At 39.5% G+C, this 17,148-nt stretch overlaps 1 long non-coding RNA gene across 1 annotated transcript in view, besides 1 other annotated feature; it reads left to right on the top strand.

Annotated features, from left to right (window-relative positions):
* The window catches only part of LINC01725 (long intergenic non-protein coding RNA 1725), a 285,210-nt gene that overhangs the window by 108,633 nt on the left and 159,429 nt on the right, over positions 1-17,148 (top strand). Inside the window, exon 2 of the long non-coding RNA NR_119375.1 lies at positions 2,065-2,166. This is a non-coding gene — a long non-coding RNA (long intergenic non-protein coding RNA 1725). The remainder of the gene's footprint in view (positions 1-2,064; positions 2,167-17,148) is intronic.
* Positions 5,787-5,956: a silencer, noted in NCBI's record as "silent region_1008". NCBI's record gives its function as "represses an Ori minimal core promoter by ATAC-STARR-seq in GM12878 lymphoblastoid cells {active_cell/tissue: GM12878}" and the evidence as "EXISTENCE:reporter gene assay evidence [ECO:0000049][PMID:35858748]".

Raw genomic sequence — 17,148 nt, 5'->3', positions numbered from 1 at the left:
CACCATTACCTATGGCAGGTGATGAAGTACTCTGTAAGTTTTGACATTGTGAAATGTGGAATGATTCAAAAGGGTCTTGCCCTCATAGACTGAGAAGACTGTACTCCTTGTGAGTCTTTACAGGTCTCTACTTCATGTGTACACATGTATAGACATAGAAAACCATGCACATGCATGTACACATGCTCTCTCACACACACAGACACACTGCTGATTTTTTAACTTTGTACTTTTTAAAAAGGCTTTTATTTTGGTGCTTTGTAATAGGGATAAAATTTTGAAAATACTGTGCTACGTATTTTATTACCCCTTAAATCTTATTCTCTTGAAACTTTTTACCTCTAAGGCTGAGCATGAATCATATGACGTCTGGGAAGGTGTGGGCTGGGGGATGCAACACCCAGGGCAAAGAAATCCAAACTATTGTTGCTATGGATGGAATGTTTGTGTTCCTCCAAAATTCATTCTATTGAAACTCTGATCCCCAGTGTGATGCCCTTTGGAGATGGGGTTTTTGGAAGGTAATTAGGACATGAGGGTGGAATCCTCATGAAAGGATTAGTGCCCTCCTAGGGAGAGCTAGAAAGGAGCCTCCTTCCATTCTATTTCTCTGTCTTTGCCATGTGAGTTACAATGAGAAGAGAGCCATCTGCAAACTCCAGGAAGAGGCCCTCACTAGGAATCGAAATGCTGGCTCTTTGATCTTGGACTTTACAGCCTCCAGAACCATGAGAAACAAATGTTTGTTGTCTAAGCCACCCAATGTATGGTAATTTCTTGTGCCAGCCTGAGCTGATTAAGACAATGAAAGGGAAGCCCTAGTTATGAAGGAAGAGAAAATAGAAAGATTGTGCCCTCTGTCATGTGCGATGGTAGAAAGAGAAAAGAAAGATGTAAGGAAATGACATGTTCTGAGCTCTAATCTAGAAAAAAATTTGGGAGGTTACCAAATGGAGGTCACAGACTTCAATGCAGCTTCAAGTTTGAGTATTGAGACCCAATTTTGGAGTCATTCTCCAAGGGAGATGGCCTGGTTCTCCAAGAACTTCATTAATTACAGCTGTTCATTTCAAAGGTGAACACAGTAGGATGTCCAGCTAGGGCACCTTCAAAGCCTAGACCAGTCAGCCTAACATAGACAACTGCCTAGGTACCAGCATGAGACCAAGGGCCTCTCCATCCCCAATCATGAAGACTGTAACTTATCCCCTGCACTCAAACATCATTTAGTGAAAGAAGAGGAGAAAGGAGAAACAGTTCCATTAGGGAGTGAACTGTGAGTTGACTAAAAAATTATCCCAAAGAGGCTATGTAACCCAGAGGAGCTGAAACATCATCAATAGGCAAATTTAAAGTTAAAGCCTGTTGCTCCCCACCCTTTACTCCCATCAGCCACCCAGCAGGGTGGAAGCTTGTGAGAAAGATTTTATCACTTGTAGAAAATAACGAAGCTCCCCTTTCTCTGCACATCTGGTGTGTTAATGGTGACCCTACCAACATAAGTAATACCTGCAGCACAGTTTTGGAATCCCTGCTGGGACAAATGTCATTTCCTGGGTCTGTCATTTTCTGGGCCCAGGAAAAGCATCACTAGGTAAAACTTATTAATGCAACTGGAAGTCTTGCTTCTTTAACTTCAACAGCCTTCCAAGTTTGGTTGATGCTTGTTCAAAGAATGAAAAATGCCTTTTGGCCTATGTTTCCCTGTGCAGCTAAAGATCCTAATTGTGCCATTACAAGCTGATACATAAATCTGTGCCAAGATTCTCATAATATTATATCTGCAAATGAGATCTTGAAGGTATTGTTCTCCCTTTCACCTGATGACAGAACAGAATGCTTCATTTAAAAATGGCAAAGAAGGATGATTGAGTTCAATTCAGCCTGATGTTTGGGTTTGTATATTTTAGGGCAAATGAACTCAGAAGACAGAACAGTTTGAATGCATCAGGAAAACAGGCTGAAACATCTGGAAAAATCCCTTTGAGATTGAAAGCATATGATGCACAACAAAGCCAACAACAAAGTCTCAATCTTAATGCTTTTACTATTTCTTGATTGCAGTGAAGCAGAGTTGCCAGCCATCTATGGATCCTAACTAAATTGGTCCTTGTAATACTCGGTATTATTTGCCAAGATATTGAAAAACCTCTAAACAGTGAGAAGGTAAGATGCTAAATATCTAATATACTCTTTACAAATTTAAGGGAGTCAGAAAAAAAGTAATTGAAGCATCCAGAAGAATTGGATTAGGAGTTAGTAGATTTTACCCAAATCTCACTTTTATTTGTGGCTTTTTTTTTCCTGACAGAATATTTACTAGAGTTAATAAGAAGCCTTTATATTTGTTAGCATATTTATTCCAAGTAGCTCAAAGGCTCCACAGACATTCTTTTATTATTTCTTACAATATCCCTGTAAGGTTTTTGGCAACAGGATAGGTATTATCCTTGTTAAACCTGGTACAGAAAAAGTATCTATTTTCAAATGTAATTTACAAAGAGCACCTCTTAGACAGAAATCTAAATTGCTGTTAAGAAATTCTCTTTCGGGAATGTTTTTCTCCTCTTTCCTCTTTAAAGTATGAAGCTGTCAATTCTGTCATTAGTCATCGCAGTAACTTTTTCCCATTCAGACCAAGGTCAAAAGTCTCCTGCTGTTAGTCTATCCATGAAAGTGCTTGAACATACACAGCCACATGTCATGCATATTTATGTTGCACAGGTATTAGAGTAAACATAAGAGGGATGAATTATTAAGGGCAAAGTAGGACTGATGAAATGCTGTTAGTTTGGATGGTTGACTGATTTGTCCTTTTACGGGCTTACATGAAGCTGTTGAACACAAAGGAAACAAACTTGATCTTGCTGTTAAGCTAACTCCTTAAGAATGATAAGTCTTAGGGGTTGAGAATGGGGAAAATGATAAATATGGATTGCTATAGTTTGAATGTGTCCCCTAAAGTTCATGTATTGAAAACTTAATCCCCAGTGCAACACTGTTGAGAGGTGAGACTTTTAAGAGGTGATTAAGTCATGAGGGTTCTGCCCTCATGAATGGATTAATGCCATTTTTGTGAGAGTGGGTTAGTTATGGCAGGAGTGGGTTTCTCATAAAAGGATGTTTGGCCTCCTCCCCCTCCCTACCCTCTTGCCTTTCCACCTTCCACCATACGATGAAGCAGCAAGAAGGTCTGTACCAGTTGTGAGCCCCCAAACCTTGGACTTCCAAGCCTCCAGAACTGTAAGAAATAAATCTCTGCTTTTTGTAAATTCCCCAGTCTCAGGTATTCTGTTACAGTAGCACAAAACAGACCAAGACATGCATATATACATATGTACACACAGAAAAAGAAATAATTGTGTATGTGTGTGTATATATGAATTTGAAATGTTCATTTCATAGGTGAACATAGTAGGATGTCTGGCCAGGGCACCCTCAAAGCCTAAACCAGTTAAACTATTATGGACACCTGCCTAGGTACCAGCATGAGAACCACGGCCTCTCCATGCTCACATCATGAGGACTGTACACACTCAAATATATATACACACACACACATACACAATTGAGTTATTTCAAGAAATGCACAAAAACCTCTACTTCTTATTTATCAGGGTGTGTAGGCCCCTTGAACAATGTCATGTGGCGGCTTCCATCAGTCCTTGGTTCTCCTGTCCATCTTTAGTTGCACTGGACTTTTTAAACTCAAGGATTAGTATCTATTTCCAAAGCCACTTTACACTCAATTATCAGAGCCTCTGTCTGGAATGAAGGTCTGTTTTCAGATCTTTGGCTCTGACATAGATAGTGGAATATTATTGCAACCCTCAGGTGGGTTTTTAGAGACAATTCTTCTTCCATGTTAAATAAGCACAATTGTCTGGTGTTTAAGGGGCATCATGCTTTACAAAGCCTGAAGTCAATTCTTTATTGGAGACTAAGATTGTGGTAAATGAGCCCCAGAAGGTTTCAAGGGAAAATGCGTCCAGTCTATTTATCTGCTAAACCTATTCTGCCTTTTTTTGTTGGGACTCCTCTCTGATTTCTTCAGGTTGGCTGAGCAAGGAGACTGCTGAGTGCTCCAGTCTCCTGTAGCAGTTTGTTTTAATTGATGCAAAGGAATGCAGAGCTGTAAAGAGTACAGCTAGAGGTGTTTTTCCCTGTTCCTTTTTGAAAGAGTTCTGTGCACGAGGTGCTACAATGAAATTGTGGGCTGGGAAGATGTGGGGATGAGAAGGGTAGATGACAAAGAGTCAGTTAAAAGGCAGGGTCTGGAATATATCTGGAGATCTGAATTTTGTGCTGAGGACGAGAAGGCCAGATTCCAATTTCCAGGGCTGCTAGATTCCTGTTTGTGATGTTATCTCTTGGTTATTTGTTTTTCTGTGGTTGAAGAGGTTGAAAGTTCTCAAAAAGGGAAACAAAAATCTCAAACTAAAACATGCCACCAAAAGTCTTGATGTAAAAAAATCTTTAGTCTTCGTTTTGCCCAAAGGGAATAAAAATCCTCTCTTTAAAAGAATTGTTATTGTCTGAAAAGAGCAGAGATGTCCTCCCACTATGCTCTTAGGTAAATGACAATGACAACCAGTAACTTATTGCCTGACGTGTTTTGGTTATTGTGATTGTTTTTTGTACTTCCTGACCTAAGACATCCAGCATGGTAGAACTATGTACCCATCAAATAGCCACATTTTACAAAGTTACATTTAAATAGAAGATTGTTACATTGACCAGGTAGTGCTTATCATTTAAAAAATAATTATTTCTTCCCTATTACTTATAACAACTACTCTAAAACTCAAAAATGAAATCTATTTTCTCACCTCAATTTTCTCTCCTCCATCAGGTCTGCATACACTGGGGAACTTCCGGTGACTGCTGGGATGCTGGCATTGGTCTTTTCTTTCCCTGGGGGCAAAAACTGACCTTGGATTTTTTATCTTTTGGGGGAAAATATCACACCTTTTACAAATAACCAGGTTTTCTTTTCTTTCTTCTGATTTGGGTTATTTTGTGTTATCAAACAGTCTTGGGCTGGCTTAAAAGTCATTTATCTGTCCATTTATATGTTTATATACTTAAGTATTTATCTAATCATTCATGTAATATTTCGATGCCTCACATGTGCTAGATATTGTGCAAGGTGCCTGGGATGGTGAATTGACTAAAGCAGATGCTGCGTGTACTTTCACAGAACTTTAGGTCTATCGTGTTGCATTAAGTTGAGGAGAAAATTATACTATTTATTGTATAGAGGGTTGTTCTTATTTCCATAAAAAATGATAAAAATATTTTTGCCAAAGATAGTTGGTACAAGGAGCTTATCTTTGTATTCATTAATCTTGACGGTAATCTACTAATCACTTTGTTCAGTTCTTCACTGTGTGATAGGCTTTTAGAGACATTAGATCAATTCTGAAAGGTAGGAAAAAAAAGGAAATCATGGCATATTTGGATTTTCAGAAGTTATGTGGAAGGCTAGGAATTAATATGGTATATTGATTTCTCAGTAATTTTACCTGATTAGTAAAGAGAGTATCAATCATTTTATTGTATATGTTCTCTTAGAGCTGGATAGCAAACAACATCTTAGACCTGGATAGGAAAGTACCACCTTTGATCTGACTAGGAGAGTATTATCTTAGACTGAATAGGACAATTCATAAGCATTGAGGGAAAATTAAGTGTTGTTAATTAAAATGCACACTGATGCCTTTTAATATTGGACTTCCTCAAACACATTTGAATCTCGCATATCAAATCAGAGCCAAGCAGAGGGCTCTGGTCTCGGTGGTAGCCTTAGCTTCTTATGTGTGAGATTTGGTGAGTACAAGTTGACTTAGGTCTGTGGTTTTACCAAATGCAAATTTTGTCTCGGAGTCTGAACTGTAGACAAGAGGAAGGTTCCACTGCCAAGAGAGTGGGGTGCAAAAGGAGGCCAATTTTTGACCTCTCATTTTAAAGCCACTCACCTCTGTTTTATTGCTTTTTCAACACTGCGTGAAAGCAGGAAACTTTCAAAGTCCGGGTGAAGCAAGAGAATGCTACCTTTCCAGGGACTAGGGTAGCTTTAATTAAAATTGGGTTTTATTTTGGAATGATTTGCTTTGAATTTGAACCAAAAAGAAGTGAAAGAGGAAGAGAGAAAAGTAGAGCAATTGATGGTCTCCCTAATGGCAAAAAGATCAATTAATTTACAACGAGAAAAAAACAGAACTGTATTACAGATTTACAAAATGTTCATTATCTATGGACTTTGGATATGACCCATCATTAGCCTAATATGCAAGGCAGAGATCTGACAGTTCCAACCCTGAATTACGGGACCAGTTGATAAATTAAAAATCATTTTAAAATTTAATATTAAAATTGATAATTGCTCTGTGGGAAATAGATTTTTCTGAACTTACACCCTTTTCCTGCACTGCTGAGCAAATGCAAAGCGATAAACTGCCCATTTGTCACAATGATAGATAGACAAATCCTACTTTTACCCTTGTTCCTCAGTACTCATACATTTCAATTAAGGAGAATAAGTGCTACGATTTGTAATGTGTATTCATATTGTCTTATCTAGTTCTTTAGGGCTCAAAGAATTCTCCTTAGAAATAGAAAAAAATGTTCCCCAACACACTCCATATAACTATTGGGTTGTATTATTCAACCCTTCAAGGAACATGGCAGGGGGGCTAGAGAGTTATTGGCTATTAATAGTATCTTAAAGATGTGACATATAAAGTAGTATCTGGAAATAATTGCCAATCGTCTAAATTGATGGAACAGTTAGTTCCATCATGTTAGTCCTGCTGAATTCTCCTCTACGTTGCTAATGTTTGTTTACACTTTAAGTTTTTTGTGCAATTGTCACTTGAGGTATATTAGATTACTTTTTGCTGTTATTCACTTACTCCCTTTGCTATGGAACTTTGCAGAGAACTAGAGTAGGTGGGGTATACTTCCCATCTCATTGATGTTAGGCTTGGTTATATGACTTGCTTGAAGTCATTGAAATATTAGGGCATATGATGTGAATAAAGACCTTAAATGTGCTTGTGAAATGGTATTTGACTACTTGGGCTCCTCTGCTCATTATGAGGAGGGCAAATCCTAGGTATTTGTTGCTCCTTCACCCTAGGCCCCAGAATGAGATACACAGAGTGAACATGCACCTGACCTGAAACCTGTAGCCACGTCCAACCAACCCAGAGTCCAAAGCAGAACTTGCCCCAACAGCCCACAGACCTGTGAAGGAAGTAAGAAATGCTCGCTGTTGAAAGTTACTATGTTTTGGGATAGTTTAGGCCTGGTTTATTATGGAATATTAATTGCAGCGATAGCTTCCTAACATATCATTTCCTAAGGAAAACTTCTCTTCGCCTCAAGACTATGACTCACTATAAGCATTTATTACAATGATAACAAATCTATATCTTGCTCACCACTCTATCTCCAGTGCATGGTATATAGTAAATTCTCAAGTGTGTGTTGAATAAATAAATGAAGAGCTTCTCAGGTCTACTTTCTATGTCACACCATGTCCAACTGTCTTGGCTCAGTTCTGTGGCCATAGATAACATTCTTAGTAAGCCATATTGAAAAATTTGTGACTTTGTTTACAGCTGTGTCTGTTCTCAAGTGTTTTAGAGTCCTGAAAAGGAGATAACACAGATTAATCAGTGCTGTGAAAAATAAGTCTTTAGAGAGCACAAAGTTTGGGAACTGAACTCAGGCTGACAATGATGTCATTAGGGGATGAGAAATTTAGAATATCTCAATAGACATCCAGAGCAAGAAATATTTGAGCCATTTTAGAGATGTTGATGCCAAACTTTGAAGTTAATGGCAATAGTTAAGCATTTTTGCTAAGTACTTTATTTATTACCTTATTTGAGATAGATGTTTACATTTGTGCTAAGTACTTTATCTATTATCTTATTTGAGATAGAAGTTTTTATTATCTCCATTTTAAAAATGTGGAAAGTGAGGGTCAGAGAAAGCAAGTAATTTGCCCGAGTTCACAGAGCTAGCAAGTGGTGAAGACAGGGCTTATATCCTGGGCTGCTTGACTTCAATGACAGCTTGTATACACAAACCAAAAAATACCAACATTATAGTCACTGAGTCCTGAGCCCCTGGACCCAGGATGCTGTCTCCCTAGATTTCTGATTTTATTTTCCTGGGTTTGACCATTGTCTCCTATACTCTTCCTTCCCTTTTCCTGAAACAAATCTATTCATAACTATAGTTGTGGGTAGGGAAGGAGGTGTTCTTTCTCTGTGCTATAGAGAAAAGAGAGTATGCAGGAAGGGGGCCACTAATTAGCTGGTCCCAGCCCTTCACTAAGCTAGCATGGTTTCTTTATTTTTAAGGCTTCAAGGCAGGGGCCAGGCTGGGCAAAGAACAATGAGTAAGTCATGGAGGTGATGCTTTTAATGATATATCCGCTAATGAAATAGCACTCCATGGGTTCACTTATTAGTAACTTAGCTCAAACAGCCATGTCCTACTGTCAGCTTGCCATTGACGACCCAGTGTGACCTCGAATTGTCAGCTCCACCTGCAAAAGAGCAAATGTAGCAGAAAATACAGAAGCAGCAGCATAATTTGGAGTGGGAAGATTAGCAACAACAGGGAAAACTCTCAAATCTCTGTATTTCCAGTTTGCTGTGAAATAATGCCAGAAGTGTAGCTATTTGAAGAACAGGCAAACCTTGCAGTATTTTGGTTTGCATCTGATTTGTAAACAATAGGATGACTTGATTGAATGTTTTCAGAGGCTGGATGACAGTGTTGGTTCTGGAGGAGTGACTAGCACAACTCCATTCTCAACTAATTATATAGCGTAGATATTCTTTACGTTTTCCAGGGCATTTGGGATTTTTAACTTTATGTTCAGAAAATGATTTATGGGGAAACCACTTCTGTACAGATCTTGTTTGACGATTGGGGGATCATAAGTGATATATGGAAGTGAAAGTTTATGATACTTCCCACTTGTATGATCTTATTTATTCAAATAACTCAATGCCCTTTACATCAATGATTGAATTAAATCATTTAATATACCTCTGTCAAATGTGAGGTGTGTATTTACTCTACATTTTGTAGTTGGTTAGACAGGGCTGTGATGATGTGAACTGTTTTTCTTGAGAGATGAACCAAATCTTACACTCATGCTTTGCATCCCTGGATAAAGGCTATTCCCTAAATGTGCACTAATAAATGAAATTTTCCTTTTTCATGCCTATTTACATTCTCATTAACAATTCATGATTCCTATGCATTTGGTACTTTCTTTGTGCAAAGCTAAACAAACACATAGTTTTTTTTAATTTCTGAACTCTGATTGTAAAACTAGAGATTTTCCAAGGTGAAATGAATTCCTAGGAATCTTATAGCATGAAAGCTATAAGGTTTTTATTCTCACTGGTGAGCAAACCATATTTATTAGTGGTAAAATTATGGAAAGGGCAATGCACCTGAAACTGAATCAGCAGCTCGGGTCAGAAAAGCATTCCAGATGTCAGATATATGGTTGAAACCTGTTGGAATAGATCCCTTTTTCATGTTGCCCTCTCAGAGTCTCTTTTTATAACTTTTGAGGTCCGTGTGTCCTTGTACATAACTCTACCAGCTTCTCACTTTGCTTCCTTGTGACTTCTGAGTAATCAGCTCATTTCTCTCAGACTTGGAAACAGCCCCACTCAGCACCAGCTTCTGTTCCCTTACTGCCCTTGGCTATCTAGTCACGAAATCAAGCAGTAATGAAAATGGGTTTCATTAAACAGGAATCCTACTTATTTTCTCAAACCACTATGCTAATAATCTCCCTTCTCAATATAAAGGCTTAAACACATACGTGTATAACTAGGTTTTTTTTCAGATTTTTTTTTCTAAAGAAGATTATTTCCTGAGGATAAAAATACCCCTCTTCAAAATCCCAGACTTTGTTGTTAGAAATGAGGACCTGAAGTATATAGAACTCTTTTTTTTTTTTTGCTCCCAAAGTGAATGGAGCTTGAAACTCCCACCTTTTTAGTCATTCAGTTTTGAAAATGACCACAGAAGAGATATGAAGAGCTAAAACATTTCCTCACTAGAGCATCCATTTTGCAGGCCTTTATGAATAAATCAAGATGAGTATTAGAATACAGATAGATATACTTTATAGGCATATGAATATGGGTAGTAGAAATATAGCTTTTTTCCCCCTAGAACAACTGAAACAAGCACCAGGATGTACACAGTTTAATATTGAAGGAATGGCAAGTCTATGGAAACTCTAATGGGCATTGTGTCTTCCTTAAAGAAAGCCATGCACAGCAGACTGTCACCCTTCTTTCCTGACAGCCTGCTATTGCAGACACTATCTTGATTGGGGTTGAAGTTCTTCAGCTTCTGTCCTCTAATGCCTGTAGTTTCTAGTTGAGTATCTAACTTCCTATTTGTCTAGAGGCCTGTTTTGAAATCATCCTCCTTGGTAGTTATCCTGACATTCTGCATCACAGCCTCAATCTCTCCCCCCCTTTTTTTTCCCTTTTCCCTGTCATGAAGTTTGTGATCATCAGCAAGAAGTCAATTTTGACTCTTTTCACTCTCTGGAGCTTTTAGAGCTCTTTGCAAATACAAGGAGCATGACCCTGGAAATTTCTTTTCCCCCAGAAAAGGAAAAAGCTTCACTTGTCAATCAGTCATTCTGAGCTTACATGCTCACAAAGGAACTCAGAGCAGCCCCTGTCTAAATCCATCAAGGTGGGGGAGGGGAGCAGAGGAGGGGGACTCAAGTTACTGAATAACTGTGATCAGCTTTAAAGTCTAGCTTCAGTTAATTCTTACAATGCCTTTCATACTACTCAAACATAGCATAGATACACAAAAGAATGAAAGAACACTAAATCCTTTGTTAGAGGACAAGTTTGAGGAGCAAGGCATTCTGGTTAATAGAATTTCTGGTTAATCGGTTGTTAACTTGTTTATGGAGAGAGCTTGCCTAGGGCAGGGGTTTTCGTGAAGAGTACAGAAAGATGAATGTTTCTTTTCAGATGTGCACAGTTCGCTGATTCACCCTACACTACTTTGTGTCTTTCTTCTGGTTCTTATATTTGTTTTATATTACAGTGTGTTGTCCATATGTTTCTCTCACCCAGGAGGTTAAACACAACTTTAGAGCAGAAGCGTTTGGAAAAACCTGTAGCGTTTTGTAAAACCTGTAAAAAATATTTCACATTGTCAATGTTCATTAATTATTTGCTAAGTTGAATTGGTGTTGCCTCTCTAATATGTTTTTAGATACATGTTGTTTGACCAACAACAAACGGCCACTATGTATGTTAATGCCTCATATACAAAAAAAAGAGTCCTGAAAAATGTGAGGTGAATGTGTACTTTGATGACTTTCATAAAACTTAAAAGCAAAACTTTTCCTTAGAACTTCAATGGTCACAAGGTAATACCTGAAGTCCTGAAAGGTCAGACACACACACACACACACACACACACACACACACGCACGCAATCTGTTTGAAATACATTCTACTAGAAATGTGAAAACATAAAAATGAATCCTAGAACAATGAAACCCCCTGAAAACACTAGAAATACGGTTAAGGAGACTGAAAGTGATTCAATAACAATTATTTATTCAACACCTCCTAGCTTCACAATCTGGAGCTCCACTTGTCAATCAGTCATTTTGAGCTTACATTCTCACAAAGTCCCTATAACAGGTACTTTGAGGCTACAAAAATTAGGAAGCTAAAAATTGAGCCTCAACTTTGCTTCATTGCACTCTTTTAGGTCCATAAGATACATTAGTTAACAACAAAATATATTCCGGCTCCTTGCCCTCATAGAGCTAGAGGGGAGAGCCCAACAATTAACAATTAACAATTAACATAATTAGTAAATTATATAGTTCTTAGAAGGGGACAACCAACAACAAGAAGAAATAGAGCAGGGATAGTTGAAAGTGGCTGAGTAGCCAAGTTAAATTGTGTGATTAAGGTAGGGCTTCATTGAAAGGGCACTATTTGAACTGGGACTTAAAAGAGGTGAGGGAGTTAGACAAGCAGATATCCAAGGAAGAGCATTCCAGGCAGAGGGAGCAATGAGTGTGAAGGGAGAGCATAAGCCTGGCAATGTGGAGGGACAGCCGGCCGGCCAGTATGGCTGGGACATAACCATCAAGGAGAATAGGAGGAGACCACGTCAGAAGGAGAGTTTTGAAGGGCCAGATAAACGGTTGAGTAAATTAGGGACTCATGGCACAATTTTTAGCAGAAAAATGGGACACAATCAGATGCATATTTTAAAAGGTGCATTCATCTGCTGTGCTAAGATGCGAGGGTAGAAGCAGAGAGGCTAGTTCAGAGGTGTCTCTACAATCCAGGTGAGGCATGGTGATGCCTGATTACCTGTCTGTTTCCCCCACTAGAGTGCAAATTCCCTTAGGGAAGACAAATCTTGTCCAGGGTATCCTTTCTAACACGGGTTCTACCACCAAGTAGGTGCTTAATAAATAAATGTTTATTTGTTGAGTATATGTAACTTCAATGTATCATAGAAAAAGACTAAAATTTCCCCCTAAAGGTTAGAATATAAAGCTATAGACATGGGGAGGAGGGTGAAATCATCTGTAACTTATAAGTTTTGTCATGGGAGAAATATTTCAATAGGATTAGAAGGACTGACAGTGATGATAATGATGGTAATAGTAGTAAAAATGATAGCAGCTACCAGTATTGAGGACATACTGAGAGATAGGACTAGCTGGATTTCCTAGGCCGACTAAAAATCCCTAAGCCTAGTTGGGAAGGTGACCGCATCCACCTTTAAACATGGGGCTTGCAACTTAGCTCACACCCAACCAATCAGAGAGCTCACTAAAATGCTAATTAGGCAAAAACAGGAGGTAGAGAAATAGCCAATCATCTATTGCCTGAGAGCACAGTGGTAGGGACAAGGATCGGGATATAAACCCAGGCATTCGAGCCGGCAACGGCAGCCCCCTTTGGGTCCCCTCCCTTTGTATGGGAGCTCTGTTTTCACTCTATTTCACTCTATTAAATCTTGCAACTGCACTCTTCTGGTCCGTGTTTGTTACAGCTCGAGCAGAGCTTTTGCTTGCCGTCCACCATTGCTGTTTGCCACCGTCCCAGACCCGTCACTGACTTCCATCCCTCTGGATCCGGCAGGGTGTGCGCTGTGCTACTGATCCAGCGAGGCACCCATTGCCGCTCCCGATCGGGCTAAAGGGTTGCCATTGTTCCTGCATGGCTAAGTGCCTGGGTTCATCCTAATGGAGCTGAACACTAGTCACTGAGTTCCACAGTTCTCTTCCGTGACCCACGGCTTGTAATAGAACTGTAACACTCACCGCATGGCCCAAGATTCCATTCCTTGGAATCCATGAGGCCAAGAACCCCAGGTCAGAGAACACGAGGCTTGCCACCATCTTGGAAGTGGCCCGCTGCCATTTTGGAAGTGGCCCGCCACCATCTTGGGAGCTCTGGGAGCAAGGACCCCCAGTAACAATACTATATTCCAGCCTATTTGCTAAATGCTCCATATGTATCATCAGTTGCAAAGACTAGAGACAGGAATCCTTAGCACAGGATATAAGGAAGCAATGTTCTGAGTTTGAATAGGAGTTATTTCATCGTGTTGAAAACCTGATGCAGAATATGTAATAAGACATAAAGTTGGAAAGTTAGGTTGAGGCTGGATTGTTGAAAACCTTAAATTTATACATCACACAAATATGTTGGATATTATTCAAATTTTGAAGTTTGTTTGTTTATTAAGCAGAGGAGTGATAGGTTTAAAGCTGAACCTGGGGAAGATTGGTACAACTCTTAGATTACCTCTGGATCATTTAACTGGAGAAAAAGTAGATGAACAGTTGTTTCTAAGGTCAAAATTACAGTTTTATCCTTCGGAAGCACTGATGTGGAAAACAGAAAAATGACACACCTTCGTATTTGTATGAGTCCGTGCATTTTATAGAGCCCTTGCATAAGTATCAGCCCACTTGATCATCACAGCAACCCTGCTAGGTGGCATTGTTATCACACTTTGCAAATTGAGATGATTTATGCAAAAGAGATCAGTTGCAGTCTGGCCTGTAGTAGGTACTCAAGAAATGTTAGCTAAAGTCAAAAAATAAGGAAGCACAGGCTTAGGAAGCCTAAGCATATTGCCCAAGGTCATATAGCTGAAAATAAATGACAGGGCCAAGACTTAAAGCCAGTTTGTCTGAGTGTGAGTCTAATTCTCTTTGCTCATATCCTAACACCAGAGAGCCTCACAAGTTCTTGAAAAATGACAGGTGAAGAAATCAAGCATAATACCTATTAGCTAACCTAACACAAACTCCCAGTGTAGAAAATATTGTTAACATTTAGTAAAAAATTTTGTTTTGTCTTAAGGGATTCTGACATACACATATGCATATATATTTATATCTATAACATATATATAGACATATGCTTCTATGTTATTCCATATATGTACATGTATATGAATGTTCATGTGTGTTCGCTGGGCTGCCATAACAGAAAACCATAGACTGGGGGACTTAAACAACAGATATTTATTTCCTTTTTTCTTTTTTTTCTTTTTTTTTTTTTTTTGAGACAGGGCCTTACTCTGTCACGCAGGCTGGAGGGCAGTGCTGAGATCATGGCTCACCGTAGCCTCTACCATGTGGGCTCAGTTGATCCTCCCACCTCAGCCTCCTGGGTAGCTGGGACTACAGGCACACACCACCACACCTGGCTAATTTTTTGTAGTTTTTGTAAAGACAGGGTCTCACCATGTTGCCTAGGTTGGACTTGAACTTATGGGCTCAAGCTATCTGCCCACCTCCGCCTCACAAAGTGTTGGGATTATAGGCGTGAACCACTACACCCAGCCCAGAAATTTATGTTCTGGAGGCTGTAATTCCAAAATCAAGGTGTTGGCAGATTTAGATTTTCCTGAAGCTTCTTTCCTTGTCTCGTAGATAGCTGCCTTCTGGCTGTGTCTTCACGGGGTCTTTCCTCTCTGTGTATGTATCCCTACTGTCTCTTTGTGTATCCAAATTTTCTCTTTTTTTGTTTTTTGAGATGGAGTCTTGCTCTGTCACCCAGGCTGAAGTGCAATAGTGTGATCTCAGCTCACTGCAACCTCCGCCTCCTGGGTTCAAGTGATTCTCCTGCCTCAGTCTCCCAAGTAGCTGGGATTACAGGCGGGCGCCACTATGCCCAGCTAATTTTTGTATTTTAGTAGAAACCGGGTTTAACCATGTTGGCCAGGCTGCTCTTGAACTCCTGACCTCAGGTGATCTGCCTGCCTCGGCCTCCCAAAGTGCTGGGGTTACAGGTGTGAGCCACCGTGCCTGGCCCAAATTTTCTCTTTTTATAAGGACACCAGTCATATCAAATTAGAGCTCACCTTAAGGGCATCATTTAACTTAATCACCTCTTTTAGGACCCTATCCCCATGTCTGGTCACAATCTGAGGTTCTAGGGGTTAGGTGTCAACATAAGAATTTTGGGTGATATAATTTAGCCCATAACGTGTACACACAAATTTATTGTTATTATTTTGATTCACAAAACTTTTAGAAATTGGTTGCACATCCAATTTCCTTCAACTTTCCAGAATGTGATATTTGTTCATTAAATATTTCTTTGGAAAAACTAAGGCCCCCACACAATGACATAAGGCATGGATGCAGCATGGTATGCCAGTGGTCATGGCATGGGCTTTGGACCCCCCCATAACCTTGGAAAACCAATCCTGATTCTGCTGCCATCTTCCACCTATGTGGCCATGAGTTAGTTACTTAAATTCACTTTCTTCATCTATAAATTCAGGGGGAGAGGGCCTTCCTGGTGGGTTTGGTGAAGATTAGGATAATCCATGTAAGCATGTCTAGGACAGGGCCCTCCCCTTCTTAGGATCATGGGTGTTAGTTCCCTCTTCTGTCACTGCTCTGCAGGGGCTCATGGGGCCTGCTCCCTCCATAGAGTCAGATGCCCACAGATAAGTCCACTGGAACTTTAGATGTGCCACAGAGGTTACATGCCACAAAAGATCGTGTTTGTTCCAGTGTTTTTAGTATTAGCATAACCAGGATATTTATGTGATAAATACTTTAGGCACCTAATTCATAGTTCTATGGAAAGATCATTAGTGAAGCTAAAAAAAAAAAAAAGGTATATTATATCCCAGCTATGAGGATAAAGAAAAATTTAGTAATTGCAAACCTGGACATCTAACCCTACTGTTAGGCAACTTCTAAAGTATCCCTCAATGATCCCTGTCTCCTGGTACTCATGCCTTTATTCAATCCCTATCCTCCCTTGAATGCAATTCCCTTCTAACAAATAGACTAGAACGAAAATGATAGACGCCACTTCTGATATTTAGTTACAAAAAACCATGGCTTTTGTCTTGAGCGCTCTTTTCTGGTATATTTCTCACCAGCTCCCAGCCCCTTTTCTGTGTCTCTCATCACCAGCTGCTGTGCCCTGAGGACACCCAGGCAGCCTAAGGAGAGGCCCACAGGTGAGAAACTGCATGTGTGAGCTGAGCTTGGAAGTGGATCTTCTATGTTTTGCCAACAGCCACGTGACTAGTTTTGGAAGCAGATTCTCCAGCCCCAGCTGCACCTGTGCCAGAGGCACCCATTAAGCCGCACCTAGTTAAATTCCTGACCCACAAAGACTTTGAAATCATAAATGTTTGTTGTTTTAAGCTGCTAAGTTTTGAAGTAATCTGCCATGTAGCAACATGAAACTACTTGGACCAAATATGTGTTTTTCTAAGCACAGGAATATTCACACTTTATTAAACTTGAGTATTCCAACAATAGGATGGAAGTCCAAGTTTTATTTCTTTGCTGGGACCCTCACATGCATGTATCACATATGTATCATTAAAAAATGAAGGACAAATCTAATCAGGGGATGACTTTATATTGATTTTTTTTTAACTTAGTAGAATCAGTAAGTGAAATGTTGTTAGACTTAGTAAAATAAAAAATAAGCAAAGTTATTGTATTTTTACCCACTAGTAAAGAAGTTAGTCATGGCATTGCTGAAAACACTTTGAGCACCACAGTAATAAGTCACAACACAATTTAGGATCAAGGTTCAC

This window comes from Homo sapiens, chromosome 1 (assembly GCF_000001405.40).
Source record: "Homo sapiens chromosome 1, GRCh38.p14 Primary Assembly".
NCBI classification, from domain to species: domain Eukaryota; kingdom Metazoa; phylum Chordata; class Mammalia; order Primates; family Hominidae; genus Homo; species Homo sapiens.
Note: the sequence above shows the minus strand (reverse complement) of the source record. Positions and strands in the feature narration are given on the sequence as shown.